Below are 22,199 nucleotides of genomic sequence, written 5' to 3' on the forward strand. Positions count from 1 at the left end.
ATGTTCTCCCTTGATGTCAGTATTGCATCAAGTTTTTTGAACTTTTTGTCTTTTTGAAAACTTGAACTTTTTATCATTTTGAAATATCCCTCTTTAATTCTGATAATATGTCTTACCATGAAGTCTACTTTGCCTGATCTTTAGATACGCCAGTGTTCCTAGTGACTTTTCCTTGCAAAGTACATTTCTCCACTGTTTTACTTTCAAACTGTCTATATATTAAGTATGATTCTTATGAGCTGCATATGGTAGTGCTTTGCATTTTAAGTTAGAATAATAAGTCCACGTAAAACTAATCCAATTATTTAAGTAATAAGGTTTGAGGTTATGTTTTGCCATTTTGTTTTCTATTTTTCCTGCTTATTCATTGCTCATTTTTTTCCCCTAACCTGCTCTCTTTTGGCCTGAAAAAATTTTAGATTCAATTCTGCCTTATCAGTTGTCTTATTAACTACATCTCTTTAAGTAGTTGTTCTTATGATGATTTCCCTGTATATGGTTTGAGAGATTTTTCTTGGCTGCTTTAAAGATTTTTATTAATTTGCAACAATTCAATTATGATGTGCCATGGTGTCTCTCTCTCTGTGTGTATGTGTGTGTGTGTGTCCTGTTTAGGATCGGTGGTGGTGTTTTTTGTTTCTGGGACAGGATTTCACTTTGTCGCTCAGGCGGCTATGTTGTATTATAAGTTTTGTTCTATTGTGTTTTCATTAAAATTACTAAATACACTTAAATACCTATCTTAAAGTCCTTTTATTTGAATTTGATCACATATTGCATTCTGGGTCTGTTTTTATTCACAAGACTTTCTCCTTTTTATAGATTACATTTGCCTACTTCTTTATATATCTAGTAATTTTTTTTTTTCTCAGACAGAGTCTTTCTCTGTTGCCCAGGCTGGAGTGCAGTGGCTCACTGCAACCTCCGCTTCCTGGGTTCAAGCCATTCTCATGCCTCAGCCTTCCGAGTAGCTGGGACTACAGGCGCCGCCACCTCGCCCAGCTAATTTTTGTATTTTTAGTAGAGACGAGGTTTCACCATATTGGCCAGGCTGGTCTCAAACTCCTGACATTGTGATCCACCGCGCCCGGCCATATCTAGTAATTTTTAAATAGATGGTGGGCATTGTAGATACCTGCTTATATGTGGATTTTATTGTCTTCCTTTCAAGAAAGGTTTGTCCCAGCAGGCAACTAATTTACTTGCAGATCAATCTGATTGTTTTGAGCCTCGTTTTTAAATTTTGTTAGTGCAGGTCCAGGAAAGCCTTTACGCTAAGACTACATTAGCCCTACTCATAAGATGTGACCTTTCTGGAATTTCTACTGAATGCCTGGTGTATTCAAGAAGGTCTCAATACTCTGAATAGACAAAATGTTCATATTTTGCAGATGTGTGCAAACTTTGGTAGTTGCTTAATTTATGGTTTTCAGTAGCTATCCTTTCACTGAAAATTGGCCTCATAGGGTCTTAACCTGTCCATACACAGCTTAACATTCAGCCATAGGCTGTTCATTTATTCATTTCATGAAGGAATTTAGAAAAGATGCTATCCTTTAGTCTGATACATGACTTTAATGGTGTAGGCCAGAAATTCTTAATTGTTTTATAAAAAGGAGTTAATTCTATTTCCCAAAGCTCTGAGGTCAAAGAGAACTGATTTTAAATATTCCAAACCAAACAGAAAACAGAGTACCATTATTGTCCATGTTCCATTCCCTCTATAAAATATGGGCAAACAACAGAGAATTAACAAAGTGTGTATAGCAATGGTAACTGACATGGAAATGTAACATGTAGACAGGCCTTCAAACATCTACTGGCAGATTAGGAAGTATTGGTTAAAAACACAGGTTCATAAAACTATAGATCAGCAGAAAAGGAACTGATTGCCCATTGCATAGTGCTAGACCAAGTGGTTATCAAGCTGGGAAAAAAGGTAGGGTTAGATTTCCAAAATCATACTGCCCAAGAAATCAATCCAGATAGATTCAAATCCAAGTATATACAAAATATTTTTAAAGTCTCTGTCTAGAAGGAGATTTTTAAAAACAAGCATAAAAGGCTTAAACTACAAAAGAAAAAGCTATGACTTTAAATTAAAATGGCCACAAATACCACAAATTAAAAGACAAAGACCTGAAAGAGATGTTTCCAATACACTTAACCACAAATGATCAGTATCCAGAATATATAAAGAACTCCTACAAATCAGTAAGAAAGATAGCAACCCAAAAGAAAAATGGTGAAAGAATATGATGGGGCCATTTCCACAGAAAAGGAAGAAAAGGAAAGTAGAACGACTGATAATATATCAAATGATAATCAACCTTTAGGTTTTACGTTCTGAAAATTCCTACAAACTTCTTTCACTCAAAACAAAACTTTTTGATACAGCCAAGATAAAATGCCTAACGGGTTAGTTGCTTGGTGTAGGCTTTCTCTACTCCAGTACAATAAAATTAGACTTATTTGAAAGGAAAAAAATGCCAGGGCTATAATGTCATCTGCTAATTTGTCCTTTTTGTCATTAGAAAAATTTCACAAAGCAGGTTAATGTTTAAGGTATATTTTCCTCAACTGGCAAAGAGAACTGAATACTGTTCATCCTACTTCTTTCCCAGAAGTATAGTGGCCAAAGCGAAGGAGATTTATGGAAGGCAATGATTAACCCAGAGAACTAACCTAGGCAGTCAAGCAACCGATCACCTCATCGTTTTCAAGAATCAACTACAGATAATAAGACGGCAACAGGAGAGAAATATAAGAAGCTCTCGGCATGTGGCCAACTGCCTTGGAAGGGAAGAAGAAACAAAAACTTTTGGGGTCCACTTAAAAACTCAATGAGAATATACTTCTATCTGAAGAAAAAAGTGTTAACAAGAATGCAGGTGGCAACAATAGACAGTGGGAACTACTAGAAAGGAAAGGTAGGGAGGGGGGCAAGGATTAAGTAACCATTGGGTGCCATGCTCACTACCTGGGTAACGGGGGTAAATCATGTCCCAAGCCTCAGCATCATGCAATATACCCATGTAACAAACCTGAATATGTACCCCTGAATCCAAAATATAAGTTGCAATTTTTTTAAAAAACAGCTAAAATAAAGAAAATTAAAAGTATTAAATATATTTAGAAATTGGAGTAAAGTTACTCTTAAAACCTTATAAAGAAAACCATTTTTTAAATATTTTCTGGTTATTCTAAATAAATTAGGGGGATATACCAACAATTCACCATACGTTTTTACTGAACACCTAAGTGTGTACAAGGCTTTATAAAGGTAATGTGGATTTCAAAATGAATTAAGTACAACCTCTACCTTTAAAGAGCTGGGGATGGGGTTGTTGCAAAAAGTTATACTGCAAGACAGAGATGGAAACAAAATGCTTAGGGAGCCCCCCTAAAAAGGGAAACTAATTGGAATGGATGTGGCAAGAAAGGATTCATAGAAGTGTTATTTACACCAGTCTTTAAAGGATGGGTAGGAATTTAACAGACATAGGAAAAGGAGACTGGAAAAGGTAAAGCAGACAAAAAAACAGAGGGAACAGTTTAAGCAAAGGTATGGGGGTTAGACAAAGCATAGGATATATTCAGGAAATGCCAAGCATATGAGTGGGGCTGAAATATAAGATTCATGGTAAAGAGAAAGAAAAATGGGAAATAAGCCTAGAAAAGAACAATGGAGACAGACTGAGGAAGTCCCTTTACACAACACAAAAAGTTCATTTTCAGCTGTGGGGATTCAAATGATTTTGTGCTGTACAGACATACATAATGTAGCCCTTTACTGTCAGATGGGCCTGTGTATGAGTTAAGTCTCATTTTAACAATTGTGCTGTCTTGTGGTCATCAATCCACCAACTCCCATGAGAGTTAACAGTTAATCAGAATAAATGCTGAGGTTGGTTAAATGCTAAATTTTAAAACAGATCCTGCTGCTCCATAATCAATATGATTCTATTAATAGAGTAACAATATAATTTCTTGTACAAACTGGATTGTTGAGAATAAAGGTGGTTCCTATTAATAATAATGCTAGTGTAAATTAGGAACATCCCAACAAACTGGGATGAAGTGACTTTAGTTATAAAAACTCCCAAATCAGCTGGGCACGGTGGCTGGCTCACGCTTACAATCCCAGCGCTTTGGGAGGCCGAGGCGGGTGGATCACCTGAGGTCAGGAGTTCGAGACCAACCTGACCAACAAGGTGAAACCCCATTTCTACTAAAAATACAATTAGCCAGGCGAGTTGGCAGGCGCCTGTAGTCCCAGCTACTCAGGAGGTTGAAACAGGAGAATTGCTTGAACCCAGGAGGCAGAGGTTGCAGTGAGCCAAGACCACGCCACTGCACTCCAGCATGAGCGACGGAGTGAGACTCTGTCTCAAAACAAACAAACAAACAAACAAACAAACAAACAACTCCCAAATCACAGGGACTCTACTTTTCTTCCACAAATTCCCTTCAGTGGGAATCTCCTTTTGTAAAGCCTTAGGAGAATCTAGTATTTGATACTGAGATTAGTGGCTATGGCATTTTAAAGAGATAGGCATATATTAAAAATGAATAAATCTACTCTTTGTATAGTAGCAGAGACTTGAAGGATGAATAACTTCGTGTAAATCTATATGAGACTTCTTTACCTTAACTAATGACAACCATGAAGACACAAGAACTACATACTGATCACTAACCTCACAAGTATAATTAGACTCAGATGGTATTTCCTGAGCTTCGGTGTTTTTTATATTTGAAAACAGTTAATTTTCAACTATACCTACCATCCCAAAATATATCAGTCTTTATTTTAGCATACTGAAGGAAAAAAATCTGTTTATTGCTAAAATTACAGAATACACCTGATGGTTTGCAAAAGACTTAATACGGGTGGCTGCAAAACTTAGCCTTTAGCCTCTTGCCAAATACCGTACCAGATGTGTTCTGAATCACCAGTAAACCGGGATGCCCTCGTGTGAGATTATTTCAACTCCAACTTTCAAATGCTTGCTATTAGAAAACACTTACAGAGAAAAATGCAATCTCACTAACTAGAAATTAATAAAGAGACAAAACAAACCTGTGGTCTTTATGAGCAAATAAAACCAAAAACTTCAAATGTCACGACTCTAAGGAAAGTAATTTAACCTCTATTAATTTTCGTCAAAGTCTAAGACCTGATTAAAGATGGTTTTCACCCTGTAAAAAGTTGTTAACCTTTTCACATTAAAAAAATTCACTTTACGTCAGGGGTTGGCATAAGGTATAACAGGACAAATGGCAAATATTTTAGGCACTGTGGGTCACAGTGAACCTTTGGTGCAACTACCTCCTGCTGAAGCATGACAACAGCCATTATAAGTAATCGATGTGAGGGGCAGTGATCCAATAAAGTTTTACTTAGAAAAATAGGTGGCTGGACTGGATTTGGCTCACAGACTATAGTTGGTCAACCCCTCTTTCAGAATATAAGCTCTGGGCAGTCCTTGATACATAATAGATGCTCTATATATGTTTATTGATGAATCATATTATTTAATAAGCAAAAAACTTAACCAAATGTCTCTACTACTATACAAACACTGTGTTCATTGAGTATTGAGACTCAACTTCCTAAGTTAGAATTTATAGGTTATTTCCCCACACAAAATCCTTACTTTAAAATTTTTTTAATTAAAAATTTTACTTTAATTGTATTATGAATCATGGAACACTATCATGTCAGTATTGAACTCTGTTCACCCAAGATATGAATTTTCTGGCTCCTTGGGGCTGTTCATATAAATAAGCAATCCAACGATCAGGTATAAGGACTAGAGCTGAATGGTCATGTTGAGTTAAGGCCACAGTTAATACCTTAACAGGCAAGTGAGAGCCAAAGGCAAATGGGAAGAACTGTGTGGAAACTGGTCTGCAGAGAAAACAATGGAAGAGAAGTAAGACTTGTTTATACCATGCAACGAAGATCTGTGAGATTTCTCTATACTGTAATAATAAATCCCCTTTTTATTGGAGGTTTTCTTTTTTTTCTTTTCTTTTTTTTTTGAGACAAGGTCTCGCTCTGTTGCCCAGGCTGGCGTATAATAGAGTAATCTTGGCTCACTGCAACCTCTGCCTCCTAGGCTCAGATGATCCACCTCAGCCTCCTGGGTAGCTGGGACCACAGGCACCGGCCACCACACCCAGCTAATTTTTGTAGTTTTTGGAAAGATGGTGTTGCCCAGGCTGGTCTTGAAATTCTGGGCTCAAGTGATCCACCTGCCTCGGCCTCCCAAAGTGCTGGGATTACAGGCGTGAGCCACTGTGCCTGGCCATTTTCTTTTCTTTCCAAGACAGGGTCTAACTGTCACCCAGGCTGGAGTGCCATGGCACAATCACGGCTCACTGTAGCCTCAACCTCCCAGGATTAAATGATCCTCTCACCTCAGCCTCTCCAGTGTATGGGACTACAGGAGCACACCACCACACTTGGCTATTTTTTTTTTTTTTTTCAATTTTTAACAAAGATGAGGTCTTGGTATGTTGCCCAGCCTGGTCTCTAACTCCTGCTTGAGGAGTTAGAGACTCCTCAAGCAATCTTGCCTCAAGCAATCTTCCTGCCCCGGCCTCCCAAAGTGCTGAATGGGATTACAGGCGTGAGCCACCACACCTGGCCAATTACAGCTTTTTTGAAAGAGCTTGTGGTCTTTGCAAACAAATCATTCCTGAATAGAAAATGGAATATGAAACACTTTGGAGAGGATTTAATGCTTGAGCTTAAACTTTAAAAACGAGTAGGCAGGGTTTTGAGTCAAGGTGAAATAATAGGGAATACATTTACCCACTGCCTGAAATAATTAATAAACAGAAAAGCATGTAAATCAATGGTCTTTACACATTAGACATTGGCCAGCATAGGACAGTAATCCCTGAGAGACGGGAAACAAACATTGTAAGTCCTTCTTCAATAGCTCCCCACTTAACAGCTTCCACGGAGCAGAGGGATAAGAAACCCAGGTGGAAGCTGGCAATCTCCCTGAGTTGAGGAAACAAAGTTGAAGGCCATGCTTGTTAGAATTTGCCTAGTAGAATACCGGGAGAAGAGAACTGCAGAGACAGACAGGAGTAGATCTGCAGAGGGTTCCCTCAAGGTTTTACTGAAAGTATCAGCACGTGCTTTGTGAGGAATGTACCTAAAGCAGAAAAATAAGTAACTAAAATGGGCAGAGGGAACAATCCCAAGGGCTCACACAGTAGCAGGAATAACTTATGTTTCATCTAAGAAGGAAACATACTTCACAAGACATCGAGTAGAATAATCATAAGATTATTGACTCAGTAGATGGGCAACATTAGCCCTAGTTAAGTTTGTTCTGTTCCCACCCAACTAAGCATAAAAAGACTTGAAAGGATTACACTATCTCCAAATAACTTAAGTGTCCCAGAATAAAGCTCAAGAATATTTCTAAAAATACAATGATATCCAGAACACAAGGTAAAATCCACCATGCCTGGAATCCAGTGAAAAAAACTAGGCATGTAATAAACAGAACAATGTGACCCATTATGAGGAAAAAAATGTAGCAATAGAAACAAGCCAGGAAATGATACAGATGATGGAATTAGTAAGCAAAGATATTAAAATAGTTATTGCAACTGTAAACTATATGTTCAAGAAGTAGAAGAATGCCTGAATATATTAAATAGAGATGTGGACAATAAACAAACATAAATCAAAATTTTCATCTCATGACGGATGAAAAATAAATGAAGAGGAAAAATATGAGTAGAACTAAGAATATATCAGAAATGCCGGAATTAAAGATTAATAAACTTGAAGACAAAGCCATAGAAACCGTCCAAAATGAAGCACAGAAAAAGCCTGAAAATACATGAACAAGGCTGGGTGCGGGTGTGGTGGCTCATGCCTGTAATCCCAGCTCTTTGGGAGGCTGAGGCAGGAGAAATGCTTGAGGCCAGGAGTTAGAGCCCAGCCTGGGCAACATTGTGAGACCCTACCTCTACTAAAAATTAAAAAATTAGCCAGGCACGGTGATGCGCACCTGTTGTTCCAGCTATTCAGGAGGCTGAGATGGGAGGACTGCTTGAGCCCAGGAATTCGAGGCTGCAGTGAGCCATGCTTGTGCCATTGCACTCCAGCCCGGGTGACAGAGCAAGACCCTGTCTCAAAAAAAAAAAAAAAAAAAAAAAAAAAACCAAAAAACATTAGTATCCTATGTTACATCTTTAAGCAGGCTTATATATGTATAACTTAAGTTCCTGCAGTGGAGGGTAAGTGCTATATACAATTACCAAAAAAACAAAACAAAACAAAAAAGGTAGAAAAGTATGGGCTTAAAATGGTACTACAAGAGCAAACTATTACATATTATGGAGAGGAAGAAAGTAATGAGAAAAGCTGTACATTTGGATAATTAAAGAAAAAAACTGTGAAAAGACAGAAATTGTTTTACATTTTTGTAAATCACTCTAACGTCTGGGTTTCAGAAGAGAAAGCTGGGTTATCATATCCGCTTTTGTCCAATCTGTTGCTTATGCTGTTTTGGCTGGGAAAGACAACCAACCAGTCTGTGTTATGCAGAAAAGTGGAATGAGATATTACCTATAAACTATCCTAGTCAGCTCACAACAGAAAGAACCAGAGAAGCTATTTGTTTATGAAACTTATCCCACACAGGTGATAAGGCAGAAAGGAGACAGAATCATAATGAGTTTCCATAAAAAACATTACAGGTTCACAGTTCTTCATGAAGTGTAAGTGGATGCCATGGGTCTGAGCTGGGTGTTAGTTAAGTTCTAAGTGTAAGAAGCCAAATTGCCAGAGGTCATAGAAGAAAAAGGGGAAAGGGACCAAGTAATGGAATTACAAGGGAGGAAAGCCAGAGCAGAGTTGAGTCTAGTTCAGAATATCTCACAATATTATATTTATTATATAGTCCAACATATTTCAAGTTGAGTCAGAACATTTTAACTGGTTTTGTCACTCGCATTTATATAAATCTGTCACTTTCCCAACTTCTTCTGGGCTTAAATTCCCTAACAAAAGGCATTCTATAACATTCATAATCCTCTCAGATCTGATTCACACAGTACCTATGTTCCTATCAGTAACTCAGAAAATGACTGAAAGAGAACTTTTAGGTGCACTTTTGACAGGCTGGCTTACATGTTAAAAGTCTTACCCTAAGAGCAATTATCCCTGGGCAGATACCAACTATAACCAGGAGGTCAGAAATTAAAATCCTAGGGCACAGAATAGCTCTGTGTTGCCTTCTACTGATACTCTGCCTATATTTAAAGCAAATTTTGGGCCCAATACCGAAGGGAATTTTTATAAAGCTACCTCACAGCTTAAAAAGCCTATCAAAATAATCTCCATTAATACTTCTAAAAAGTACCACCTAATGACAACTTAGAAATCAAACCACAATCTGGTAAGAACAGAGGACATAAACTACAAGAAAACAGAAAACATTTGATATTTTAGGTTAGGCAAAGATTTCTTAGGTCACCAAAAAGTATGAATCACGAAAGGAAAAAAAAAAAAAAGATAAATTGGACTTTATCATAGTTTAAAACCTTGACTCTTCAAAAGATACCACTAGAAAAATAAGAATGCAAGCCATAGATTGGGAGAAAATATCTGCAAAACATGTATCTGATAAAGGACTTGAGTCCAGAATGAATAAAGAACCCTTTCAACTCAACAAGAAGAAAAACAACTCAATTTTGTAAAAAAGATTTGGATACTTCACCAAAGAAGATATGTGAATGGCAAATATGCACACTAAAAGATGTTCAGATTCTTAGACCTTAGGGAAATGAAAATTAAAACCACAATGAGATATCATTACACTTTCACTAGAAAAGACAGAATTTTAAAAGACTAAATATAAACAAATGTTGGAGAGGGTAGGAGAAACTGGACCTCCCATGAGTTGCTGGAGCTAATGCAAAATGGTACAGCCACACTGGGAAAAAAATCTGGCTGTTTCTTATGAAGTAAACTTACCATTCAACCCAACAATCCCACTCCTAAGTATTTATAAGAGAAATGAAAGTATATAATCACAGAGACTTGTACATAAATGCTTTATTCATAACAGCCCAAACTGGAAACAATCCAAATGTTCAGCACCTAGTGAATGGTATATCCATATAATGGATAAATGCATATAATGCAATTAAAAAAAAACATTAACTCATACGACAATGTGGATGACACTTAACTACGTAACACATGGTTCCATTTATAAGAAAGTCTAGAAATGGCAAAACTATAAGTGATTACAGTGATATAGCAGATAAGTGGTTGTGAGGGACCAGGAATAGCGAGAGAGGTTTTACTAAAAGGAGCACAAGGGAACTTTTTAGGGTGATAGAAATATTTTATATACCATGACTGTGGTGATGATGGTTATATGACGGCATACGTTTGTCATAACTCGTCTAATTGGTCCATTTTATTATATGTAAATTATACCTCAATAAACGTGATTAAAGAAAAAGAACAGGGGAATAAACATATTTGCCCCTCATATTACCTGTCACTCACCAGAATTTATCAACACCTGACAGAAAATAGCAATAGGTAGGAAAGTAAAAATGTGGAAATCACTGGAAAGAGCAAGAAATTGATAAGAATTATGCAGTCAAGATAAAAGCAATGTCATTCTTTACATATTTTAATATATAATAATGTAATACATAAATATATATTTTAACCATTCAATAATAAGAACAATCTGATTCTAAAAGAGACCTTCATCAATCCAAAATATCACCTGCTTTATCAAAACAGTATTTCTTAGAGTAGATTCTAAGGGTTACCTAAATCACAGGCATCAACATATTTCTGGGCACCATCCCAGACCTACTCCATCCATCACACACTCTTAGGTAAAAATAAGACCCCATTTTAAACTGTTTCCAGATAAATTATTTTGCAAATTTAGTCTCACAGAATGACTTTATTAGAAGTTCTAATGTACACGTGTGTACTCACACATATATATCAACTGGGTTTGCAATTATGCCAGGTTGATAGTATTCAATAGCACATATACTTTCCTTATAGGAAAATAGAGGTATCTCCATTTCATGGAGACGTAGGGGGCTCAAATGAGATTATCTATAACATAAGATACACTCAAGGTTGTACTGTTCCCCAGTCATCCTGGACTTGGATAGGAACATCATTCTAAGCAGGTAAAAAAGACTTTTTGACCTTACCAAGCCTGAAGTCTCACAATGCCATACTGCCTCTCTTTTACCACTATATACTGCTTAGTAGCAGGTGACAACCACTTTAGTTATTAATTTTAGTTAATATTTATATTATCACAAGAATATTTCCTTTAAATATGTGATATTTTAAAGTTATGTGCTACAGCTGGGTGCGGTGGCTCACGTCTATAATCCCAGCACTTTGGGAGGCTGAGGCGGGTAGATCACTTGAGGTCAGGAGTTCGAGACCAGCCTGGCCAGCATGGTGAAACCCCATCTCTACTAAAAATACAAAAAAATTAGCTGGGCGTGGTGGCGCATGCCTGTGGTCCCAGCTACCTGGGAGGCTGAGGCAAAAGAATGGCTTGAAGCTGGGAAGCAGAGGTTGCAGTGTGCTAAGATCATGCCATTGCACTCCAGCCTGGGCTACAGGGCAAGACTCAGTCTCAAAAAAATAAAAAATAAGAAAATAAAAAAGTTATGTGCTATGTTTCCTCCCTTACTTTATAGATTCAGTTGGTTTCTTAGACAATATCCCATGCGCTTACACACAATTTAATTTCAAACTTTTTTTTTTTTTTTAATAATAGAGACAGGGTCTCACTATGTTGTCCAGGCGGGTCTCAAACACCCAGCCTGGAGCAATCCTCCTGCCTTAGCTTCCTGAAGTGAGGGGATTACAGGCTTGAGCTACTGTGCTGGACCCAATTTCAAACACTTAAAAAAATCAAGTACTACCATGTCAAAAGAAAACAATTTAACAATAAAACAAAACAATGTGAGGAACTACAGAAAACAAAGCTGAGTAAACAGGCCAAGGTCCTTACCTTCATGAATTTTTTTTTTTTAAATGTGGTAAAATATACGTAAAATTTACCATCTTAACCCTTTTTGGGTATACAATTCAGTGGCATTAAGTACATTCACATTATTGTGTAACCATCATCACTATCCATCTCCAGAACTTTCCCATCATCACAAACTCTGTACCCATTAAATAATAATAAATCCCCATTCCTCCTCCATCCCACCCTCAGTAAACACTATTCTATTGTTTGTTCTCTATAAATTTGACTATTGTAGGTATCTCATATAAGTGGAATCATGTATTTGTCCTTCCTTCCTGAGTTTTTTCTAACTTTTTTTGAGATGGAGTTTCGCTCTTGTTGCCCAGGCTGGAGTGCAACGGCACGATCTCGGCTCACCACAACCTCCATCTCCCAGGTTCAAGCGATTCTCCTGCCTCAGCCTCCCGAGTAGCTGGGATTACAGGCATGTACCACCACACCTGGCTAATTTTGTATTTTTAGTAGAGATGGGATTTCTCCATGTTGGTCAGACTGGTCTCAAACTCCCAACCTCAGGTGATCCACCCACCTCAGCCTCCCAAAGTGTTGGGATTACAGGCATGAGCCACCGCGCCCGGCTGTTTTTTCTAATTTTTAATGCATGTGTAGGCAATAAGCACTAAGGACACAAAGACTGGCAGCATACTGAATCTGCCCTCATGAAACGCACACTCTAAGAGGCAAGTCAGACATGTTAAAAACAAACAATCTTGCAAGTTAATGTGATAACTGCTTTAACAGGGATACAAAGTACAATGGTGGCACAAAGGACTGATATGACTAAGGGTAGTTGGGAGAGGCTTCACAGTGTAGATGATGTCTCAGGACAGTCTTGAAGTGTGAAGAATTCACCAGTAGAAAAGGCCATTCCATCCAGAGGAATGGCATTCAGTCATTTCATAAGGGATGACACCACACCAGACACTGAACACCTAGGACAGCCAAGGTACCTGCTTTCATTAAGCTAACAGCATATGCAAAGTCATGAGGTACATACATTTGAGCAAGAGCAAGCAGTTCAGACTGAAAAGCAAAGTGCTTGAGGGAGAAGCAGAAGATGATGCTGAAAAGGTAGGCAGGTGCTCGATCATGAAAAAACTTTATGTTGTCTAGAGTTTTATTTTAGATTATAGGCCAGGGCTATAATCTAAAATATATAAGGGCTGAATTTGAAAACAGGTAAAGTTAGAGACAAACTGGGAGGCTATTATGATGATCCATGCAAAAATAATGACACCTCAATTAAAGTAGTAACCATGGAAATGGACAGAGAATGGACTTGAAAGTCCACAAACTACATGTAAGTGATTGTTACCTGTTTATGATTAAATAAAAAGAAATAATTTCTCTTCTTCAGTAAATATCTACCAAAGCCCCATAATGTATTAAAAATTATTGACAAAAACATATTAGGATAAAAGAACACAATGCATTTTCACTTTTCTTTTATGTATGTGTAGGTGTGTGGAATCAGGGCTCCAATTACAATCCTGTGCCACATAACAATGTTTCAGTCAAGATGGAATGCACATGCAATGGTGGTTCCTTAAGATAGAGCATCATATCGAAACCTCGTATATGGCACTTGATATTGACACTGCAGATCAAGTAGGGGAAATAGCTGATATTCAGTAATGGTGCTGGGACATTTCGTTTTCTAATGTAACATACAAATATATTTTTATTTATACATATTTTTTCTAGGTTTGTGTAGTATACTCTATGATGTTCACACAATGACAAAATCGCCTACCAATGCATTTCTCAGAACACATCCCTGTCGTTAAGCAACACACAACTATACCTTTAAGTAATTTTAGAGTCGGTCTTCCTTTTTACCAGAGGAAAAACAATTCCTTGTTTCTGTTCTACAACTGCAAGAGGAGTGCCAGAAAGAGTTAACAGTTGTCAACAGAAGCTTGACCCTCTGTTCTCAAGTATGTGCTGGGGATGTAGTGGGAATTTAACACACTAAACAAGAAACTGTCCATAATCCAGTTTACTTCAATTTTTAAGAAGAAATCTGTATATAAATACTGAGGCTTTCTGCCAAAAAAGCAAATGCTTCACGGATTTGGCTCCTTGTCTTTTCTTGTGGCTGTTCTCCAATATCAACTTGGAGATGTCCCTATCTCAAAATCTGCCAGCTACTGAAACATGGGTCAAACAAAACACTTTCCTCTCTGTAGAGTATAATGTATCAAGACTATGAATCCTATTAGGTAAAGCAGAGATCACATTTAAAAATGCATATAACTAGTTCCCCCAAAACAATCTTTTCTCAGATACTAATACTCATTCCACAATATTAAACTTCAGATTTCAAATATAAGGTTTTCTATGATTAAACTTTTAGACACTGGAATCAGACATATCCAAAGAATCTCTGGTAAATCTGACACACCTGAATTGATGTAAATTTAATAGAAGCGTATCTTGCTTCCCTTTGCAGGTAATATTCCTTTTCACTTGACTACCACATAATTTTAAGAAGAAACCAGAATAACTCTCATTCATCACTTTTAGTAGTTCAAAAAGTCTGAATCTACTCAAAAAAATCTCCACACTTTGATATTTCTAAGTTTAAATTTGTTTTATTTACACTAATTCAGTTTATTACCTTTTAGCGGTCTTAAATATTTTATGCATTACAAAAATCCTTCTTTAAAAGGCATCCCATTTATACTTTCAAACCACTTTCTTAACATAAATGCAAATTAACACACTCCAGAAAAAAAAATTATTGTTAATTCCTTAATTGTACTGTACCTCAAGTCTATTTAATTCTACATAGTTATAGGAGAGAAAAATAAAAACATCTAGGTCTAGCTACTTGATAATAGGTAATACTCTTTATTCCAAATTAAATATATAACAGTATAATAACGAGCATAATTCCGAAGACAATCAAATGACATTCAAGTGATCTAACAGAAAAATAAGAAAATATTTTGATACAGAAAACTAAAAACATAGCTTAGTTCATAAGTCATTAGGGTTATTACATTACATTTTATCATCACAACAATAGCCACAACCCCAGGCTATATCTCATGGTCCCTAAATCTAAGCAGATTGTTTTTAGTTGGGAAAAAGATTATCATAAACTTATATTTTACTAATAATCTGAAGGATCTCAAATATGCCAAGAAGCCTATGTCTCTAAAATATAGCTTCATCTTTTGAAATAATTGATGCTTCAGGAACAGCAACAATAACCATTATCATCAAGGTAATCTCCCTGAAAAATCTCATCATGTTAGAAAAAAAACAAGTATTAAAAAAACAAAAATGAAAGCAGAACAAAGCATACAAGAGCAATTAGACAATTATTAAATGGCCCATATACCTGCAATTGAAATCACAGAAAGAGAAGACAGAACAGGTCAAATGAAATACATGAAGAGACAATGGCTAAGAATTTTCCAAATTAAGTAAAAGATGCTAAACCAGAGAACCAAAAAACTCAGAGAAGACCAAACAAACCAACAAAAGAAAACAGACACATCACATTCAAAATAAAGATAAATCATATCTAAAGATAGAGAAACTCTTAAAGACGGCCAAAAGAAAAATAAATTAAATGAACAAAGGACATTATATGCAAAGAATCAAAGACAAATGACAAAAATATGTAATAGATGCAAAAAATCTCAACAAAATACCAGCAAACCAAATCCATCAGCACATCTAAAACCTAATTCACCATAATCAAGTAGACTTTATTCCTGGGATGCAAGGTTGGTTCAACATATGCAAATCAATCACTGTGATTCACCACATAAACAGAATTAAAAAGAAACACGATATGACCATCTCAATAGATGCAGAAAAAGCTTTTGATAAAATCCAACATCCCTTCATGATAAAACCCCTCAATAAACTAGGTATCAAAGGAATATATCTAAGAGCCATTTATGACACACCCACAGCCAACATCATACTGGATGGGCAAAGCCTAGAAACATTCTCCTTGAGAAATGGAAGAAGACAATGATGCTCACTTTCACCACTCTTACTCAACATAGTAATGGAAGTCCTAGCTAGAGTAATCAGGCAAGAAAAAGAAATAAAAGGTATCCAGATAGGAAAAGAAGAAGTCAAACTATCTTTCTTTGCTAATGGTATGATTCTATACCAGAAAACTCCGAAGACTCCACCAAAAGGCTCCTTGAACTGATAAACAACTTCAGTCAAGTTTTAGGATACAAAAATCAATGTACAAAAATCAGTAGCATTTCTACGTAACAATAACCTTCAGGCTAAGAGCCAAATCAAGAACACAATTCCATTTACAAGAGCCACAAAAACAAGAAAATACCTAGGAATACATCTAATGAAAGTAGTGAAAGATCTCTACAAGGAGAACTACAAAACACTGCTTAAAGAATCAGAAATGACACACACAAATGAAAACATATTTCATGCTCATGGATTGGAAGAATCAGTATCATTAAAATGACCATACTGCCCAAAGTAATTTGCAGATTCAGCATTATTCCTATCAAATTACCAATATCATTTTTCACAGAATCAGAAAAAACTACTCTAAAATTCATATGGAACCAAAAAACAGCCCAAACAGCCAAAGCAATCCTAAGCAAAAAGAAAAAACCTGGAGGCATCACATTACTCAACTTCAAACTACACTACAAAGCTACAGTAACCAAAACAGCACAGTACTGGTACAAAAAGAGATACATGGACCAATAAAACAGAATAGACAACCCAGAAATAAAGCCACACACCTACAACCATCTGATGTTCAACAAAGTTGACAAAAATAAGCAATGAGGAAAAAGTCCCTATTCAATACATGGTGCTGGGATAACTGGCTAGCCATATGCAGAAGAATGAAACTGGACTCTTACCTATCACCATATACAAAAATTAACTCAAGATGGATTAAAGACATAACTGTAAGACCTAAAACTACAAAAATCCTAGAAGAAAACCTAGGAAATTCTTTTCTCGACAACAGCCCTGTCGAAGAATTTATGGCTAAGTCCTCAAAAACAATTGCAACAAAACCAAAAACTGACAAGTAGGACCTAAGAGCTTCTATACAGCAAGAGAAACCATTAACAGAGTAAACAGATAATCTACAGAATGGGAGAAAAAATTCAGAAACTATGTATCTGACAAAGGCCTAATATCCAGAATTTATAAGGAACTTAAATCAACAAGTAAAAAACAAATAACCCCATTAAAATGTAAGCAAAGGACATGAACAGACACTTCTCAAAAGAAGACATACAAATGGCCAAAAAAAAATTGAAAAAATGCTCATCACTAATCATCAGAGAAATGCAAATCAAAATCACAATTGAAATACCATCTCATACCAGTCAGAATAGCTTTTGTTAAAAAGTCAATAAATAACAGATCTCAGTGGGGCTGTGGAGAAAAGGGAAAACCTTTACGCTGTTGGTGGGAATGTAACTTAGTTCAGCCACTGTGGAGAGCAGCTTGGAGATTTCTAAAAGAACACAAAATGGAACTACCATTTAACCTAGCAATCCCATTACTGGGTATATACCCAAAGAAAAATATATCATTCTACCAAAAAGACACATGCACCCATGTGTTCATCACAGCACTATTCACAACAGCAAAGACATGGAATCAACACAGGTGTCCATCAACAGTAAATGAGATAAAGAAAATGTGGTACATATACACCATGGAACACTACACAGCCACAGAAAGAACAAAATCATGTCCTTTGCAACAACACGGATGCAGTTGGGGGCCATTATCCTAAGCAAACTAATGGAGAAACAGAAAACCAAATACCCCATGTTCTCACTTACAAGTGGCAGCCAAACCATGAGTACATATGGACATTAAGATGGGAACAAACAGACACTGGAGAATACAAGATGGGAGAGGGAGGCAAGGATGGAAAAACTACCTATTGAGTACTATGCTCACTTCCTAGGTGACGGGTTCAGTCGTACTTCAAACCTCAGCATTATGCAATATACCTTTGTAATAAACCTGCACAGGTACACCCGGAATCTAAAATAAAAGCGGAAAAAGAAAAAAAATTTAATTCAAATAAAAATATATACGTAAAAGCCATATAACAAACAGTAGAGTGACATCTTTTAAGTACTGAAAGAAAAAAAAGGCAATCCAGAATTCTATATTCAGCAAGAATATTTTAGAAAAATAAAGTCTTTTTGAGAGAAACAAAGATAATTTATTACTAGCAGACTTGGCCTATAAGAAATGTTAAAAGTTCTTCAGGTAGACAGAATGATACCAGACAGAAAACTTGGATCTACACAAAGACATGAACAACAGTATAAACGGTATAAATGAAAGTAAATACAAAACTTCATATTTTTCTTATTTGCAATTGTTCTAAAAGATAACTGTCTCTAAAGCAAAAATGCAGTCATGTACTGCATAATGATATTTAATCGACAAGGGACCACATATATAATGGTGGTCCCATAAGATTACGATGAAGCTGAAAAATTCCTATCGCCTAGGGACATCCTAGTTGTATTAACATTGTAGTACGATGAGTTACTCACGTGTTTGTGGTGAAGCTGGTGTAAAGAAACCTACACTGCCAGTTGTATAAAAGTATAGCATATACAATTATGTTAAGTACATAATACTTGATCATGGTAACAGTTACTAGCTTATGTATTTATTATATACTTTATCATTATTTTAGAATGTACTCCTACTTACATAAAAAGGAAAGTTAACTGTAAAACAGCCTCAGGTAAGTCCTTCAGGAGATATTACAGAAGAAGGAACTGTTATCATAGGAGATGGCAGTTCCATGTGTGTAATTGTCCCTGAAGACCTTCCAGACAAGATGTGGAAGTGGAAGACAGTGATATTTATAGCTTGACTCTCTGTGGGCCTAGGGCTAATGTATTTGCGTCTTAGTTTTTAACAAAAGTTTTAAAAGTAAAAATTAAAAATTTTTAAATAGAAAAAAGCTTACAGAATGAGGACATACTTTTGTACAGCTGTACAATGTATTTGTTTTAAGCTAAGTTATTGTAAGAGAGTAAAAAAGTTTAAAAAACTAAGAAGTTAATAAAGTAAAAGTTACAGTAAGGTAAGGCTAATTATTGAAGACTTTTTAAAAATAAATTTATTATAACCTACATGAACAGTTCTATAAAATCTATAGCAATATACTGTAAAGTCTTAGAGTAGTAATATATTGCATGTTGATTGCATATATATAAAAGTAAAGTGTATGACAACAAAAACATAAAAGATGAAGAGGAGAAATGGGAGTATAGAACTATAAGGTCCTAATACTACATATAAAGCTATGTATTATTATATCAAGAAAACTGTGATTAATTACAAATATACGGCAAACCCTAGGGCAACCACTAAACAAATTTCAGAAAGAGGTATAAATAAATAAGCAAACCGCGGAGAGAAATGGAATTTTTAAAAAGTCCAAGTAATCCAAAAGAAAAAAAGAACAGATAGACTAACATAAACCAGATACCATAGTGGTAGATTTTAATCCAACCATATTACCAATGTTGATAAATATAAACAATCTAAACACACTAAATAAAAGAGACATGTCAAAATGAAAGACAGAGATTATCAGACTGGATAAACAAGTAAGCCCATCTATATGCTGACTATAAGAAACCCATATTAAGTGTAAAGATACAGATAGGTTGAAAGTGAAAGTAAAACAAAAAACAAAAACAGAAAAAATATGTTGGGAGACAATTCTCCATGGGTCTCTGTTGAGGTAGCTGCCTTTGAACCTACTTCTCAGTATCTGGTCTGCAACCATCTCCCCAGTTACTCTTTATTAATAAGTGATACAATGGAGAGATGGAAATCTCATGTCTATTGCTAATATGTATGAAATTCATGGCAAACTTCAGTTTTTGACATGATATACCATGTAAATACTAATCAAAAGGAAGCTGAAGTGGTTATATTAATACAAGGCAAAGAAGATTTCAGAACAAGGAATATTACCAGAGATAAAGAGGCTGTCCGCCAGAAAGGCACACCGATCTTAAATATGTATGGATCTAACAAACTTTCAAAATACATGAAAAAAAAACTGATAGAACTGGAAAGAGAAATAGACAAATCTATTAAGTTGGAGACTTCAACACATCTCTCAGTATTTTATAGAACGAGTAGGCTATAAACATATGGAAAAACTCAATCTCTCACTAGTGATGAAAAATGTACAAACCCACAATGAGATGTTTTAAATTAATTCCTAATTTAAAACTTAAGTCTGACAATCCTAAATATTGGTGAAGATGTGGAACATCAGAAACTCACACTTCTGGTGGGAGTATAGATTGGTATGATCACTTTGGAAAACAATTTGGCATTACTTAGTAGAGATGTGCTCATATTTATAATTTAAAATTCTTATGACGAATAAATAGTAAATATAGATTCACTCAGCAAATATTAAAAACAAAATAAAGCCACAGAATGTAAGTACAACACCCCGTTAGGCCTAACTAGACACCGAGACTCACATAACCCAAACAGGCTGGTTATACTTAACATGTCAGGCAGGAGTCCTCATTGCAATTCGGGGGCTAGTATCTTTGGCCCTCTCAGGTGGCAGATCAAGTGTAAGAGAATGAGAGCATAAGGTCCTTGCAGTAGCTACTCTAGCTTACAGGTACCAAATAGCAACCAATATCTCCAGTCTCATAGGCATAGCTTCCTGAGCTTCAGCAACAGATTTGCTTAGTTGCAAGAGTTATCACACTCAGGGAAGTCCAAAGCTGTTAACGGTATAAGTACCAGTATTTACAATTCATTCACAGTCCTCCTCTGGTCCTTATGCAATTCAGTAATCATGAGTCATTATTACCATAAGCAATGGTGCTCGGTTATACAACTGATATTCTACCTTATCAAGCTTCCAAGTGAACAAAGCTAGGAAGTTAAGCCAAGGCCAAAACTGTCCGAAGAGAAGAAAGGTTAATGTTACAACAAATAAAGAGATTCAATTTAGAATGGCACTAAGCTAAACAACTATTAATATATTTCACTGAATCCAAGATGCTAGTGATTATGACATAATTAATTTTTGTACTAAGAAAAGTGCTGTTAAGTAAATATGGTGCACTACTGATTGTAAGACATATCCTAATTACTGAGATGCACAAGGAGGGAAAATATACTTCTTAGAATTGATGAAATACAGAATAATCCTTCTCTAAATTTTTCACTAAAATATTTAAGACATACAGTAAATTTTCACTTAACTTTGTTGATAGGTTCTTGGAAACCTAAACTTTAAGAAAAACTTTGTAGCAGATCTCCAAATGACATTTTGTTCAACTTCATTTTATTATAACAATGAGAAAAAAACGGTTTCATTATATGTGATTTCACTTAAAGTCACAATTTCCAAGAACCTGTCATGGACATTAAGCAAGGACTTACTGTGTAACTCTTTTCTCTACCTTGGGGACACGGTCTGCTCCAACAGAAACCAGTCCCCTACTAAAAATTTTCTAAGACATGTAATACCTCTGTTCATCTACTCTAAAAACAACCAATATCAACATAATTGACGCAGCATAGCTGTCTTCATCCTGGCATGTTAAAAAGCATCCAAAATCTAAATAAATGAATTAGCTCCCATCACTGATTAAATCACTAAAAGTCCTAAGGGCCTTTACAACCTGGAGGCTTGCATGCAATGTTCTGGTAAAATAAATAAATAAATAACAAAAATTTAAAAAAAAAAACTGTTTCAGGTTATCCATAAATATGTTAGTTCCCATATACCAGCGAACTGTGCAAGGAGAAAAGTGGAAAAAACCTTAAACCTCAATCCAGTAGAGGTACACTAAGTGAATGTTTTCATCTAAGTGGGTTGTATACGATCATTAGTTCTTTATGCTAGGGAAGGCAAATCTATCTTTTTATAAGCAGAAAATAAATATGATTAAAGTGAACTTGCCATACCCTACCTACTGGCAAACACTAGGCTTGGAAAAATAGCCCTTGTTCATAGATAGGTATGTATGGAATGGGACCTAAACAAACATTCAGCAGCATAGATAAAACATCTTCTTAAAAATGCCAAAGAAAAGAATCTGTGATAATTTATATTTAGAAACAGAA

At 35.9% G+C, this 22,199-nt stretch overlaps 1 protein-coding gene across 16 annotated transcripts in view; it reads right to left on the reverse strand.

Annotated features, from left to right (window-relative positions):
* REV3L (REV3 like, DNA directed polymerase zeta catalytic subunit) overlaps positions 1-22,199 on the reverse strand; it is a 184,679-nt gene that overhangs the window by 143,276 nt on the left and 19,204 nt on the right. The window contains exon 4 of one of the 16 annotated variants that reach the window (NM_001286431.2): positions 17,992-18,098. The exons of the other annotated variants lie outside the window; for them this stretch is intronic. The gene's annotated coding sequence lies outside the window, so the exon portion shown is untranslated. The remainder of the gene's footprint in view (positions 1-17,991; positions 18,099-22,199) is intronic. 16 annotated transcript variants of the gene reach the window in all.

Source organism: Homo sapiens, chromosome 6 (genome assembly GCF_000001405.40).
Source record: "Homo sapiens chromosome 6, GRCh38.p14 Primary Assembly".
NCBI classification, from domain to species: domain Eukaryota; kingdom Metazoa; phylum Chordata; class Mammalia; order Primates; family Hominidae; genus Homo; species Homo sapiens.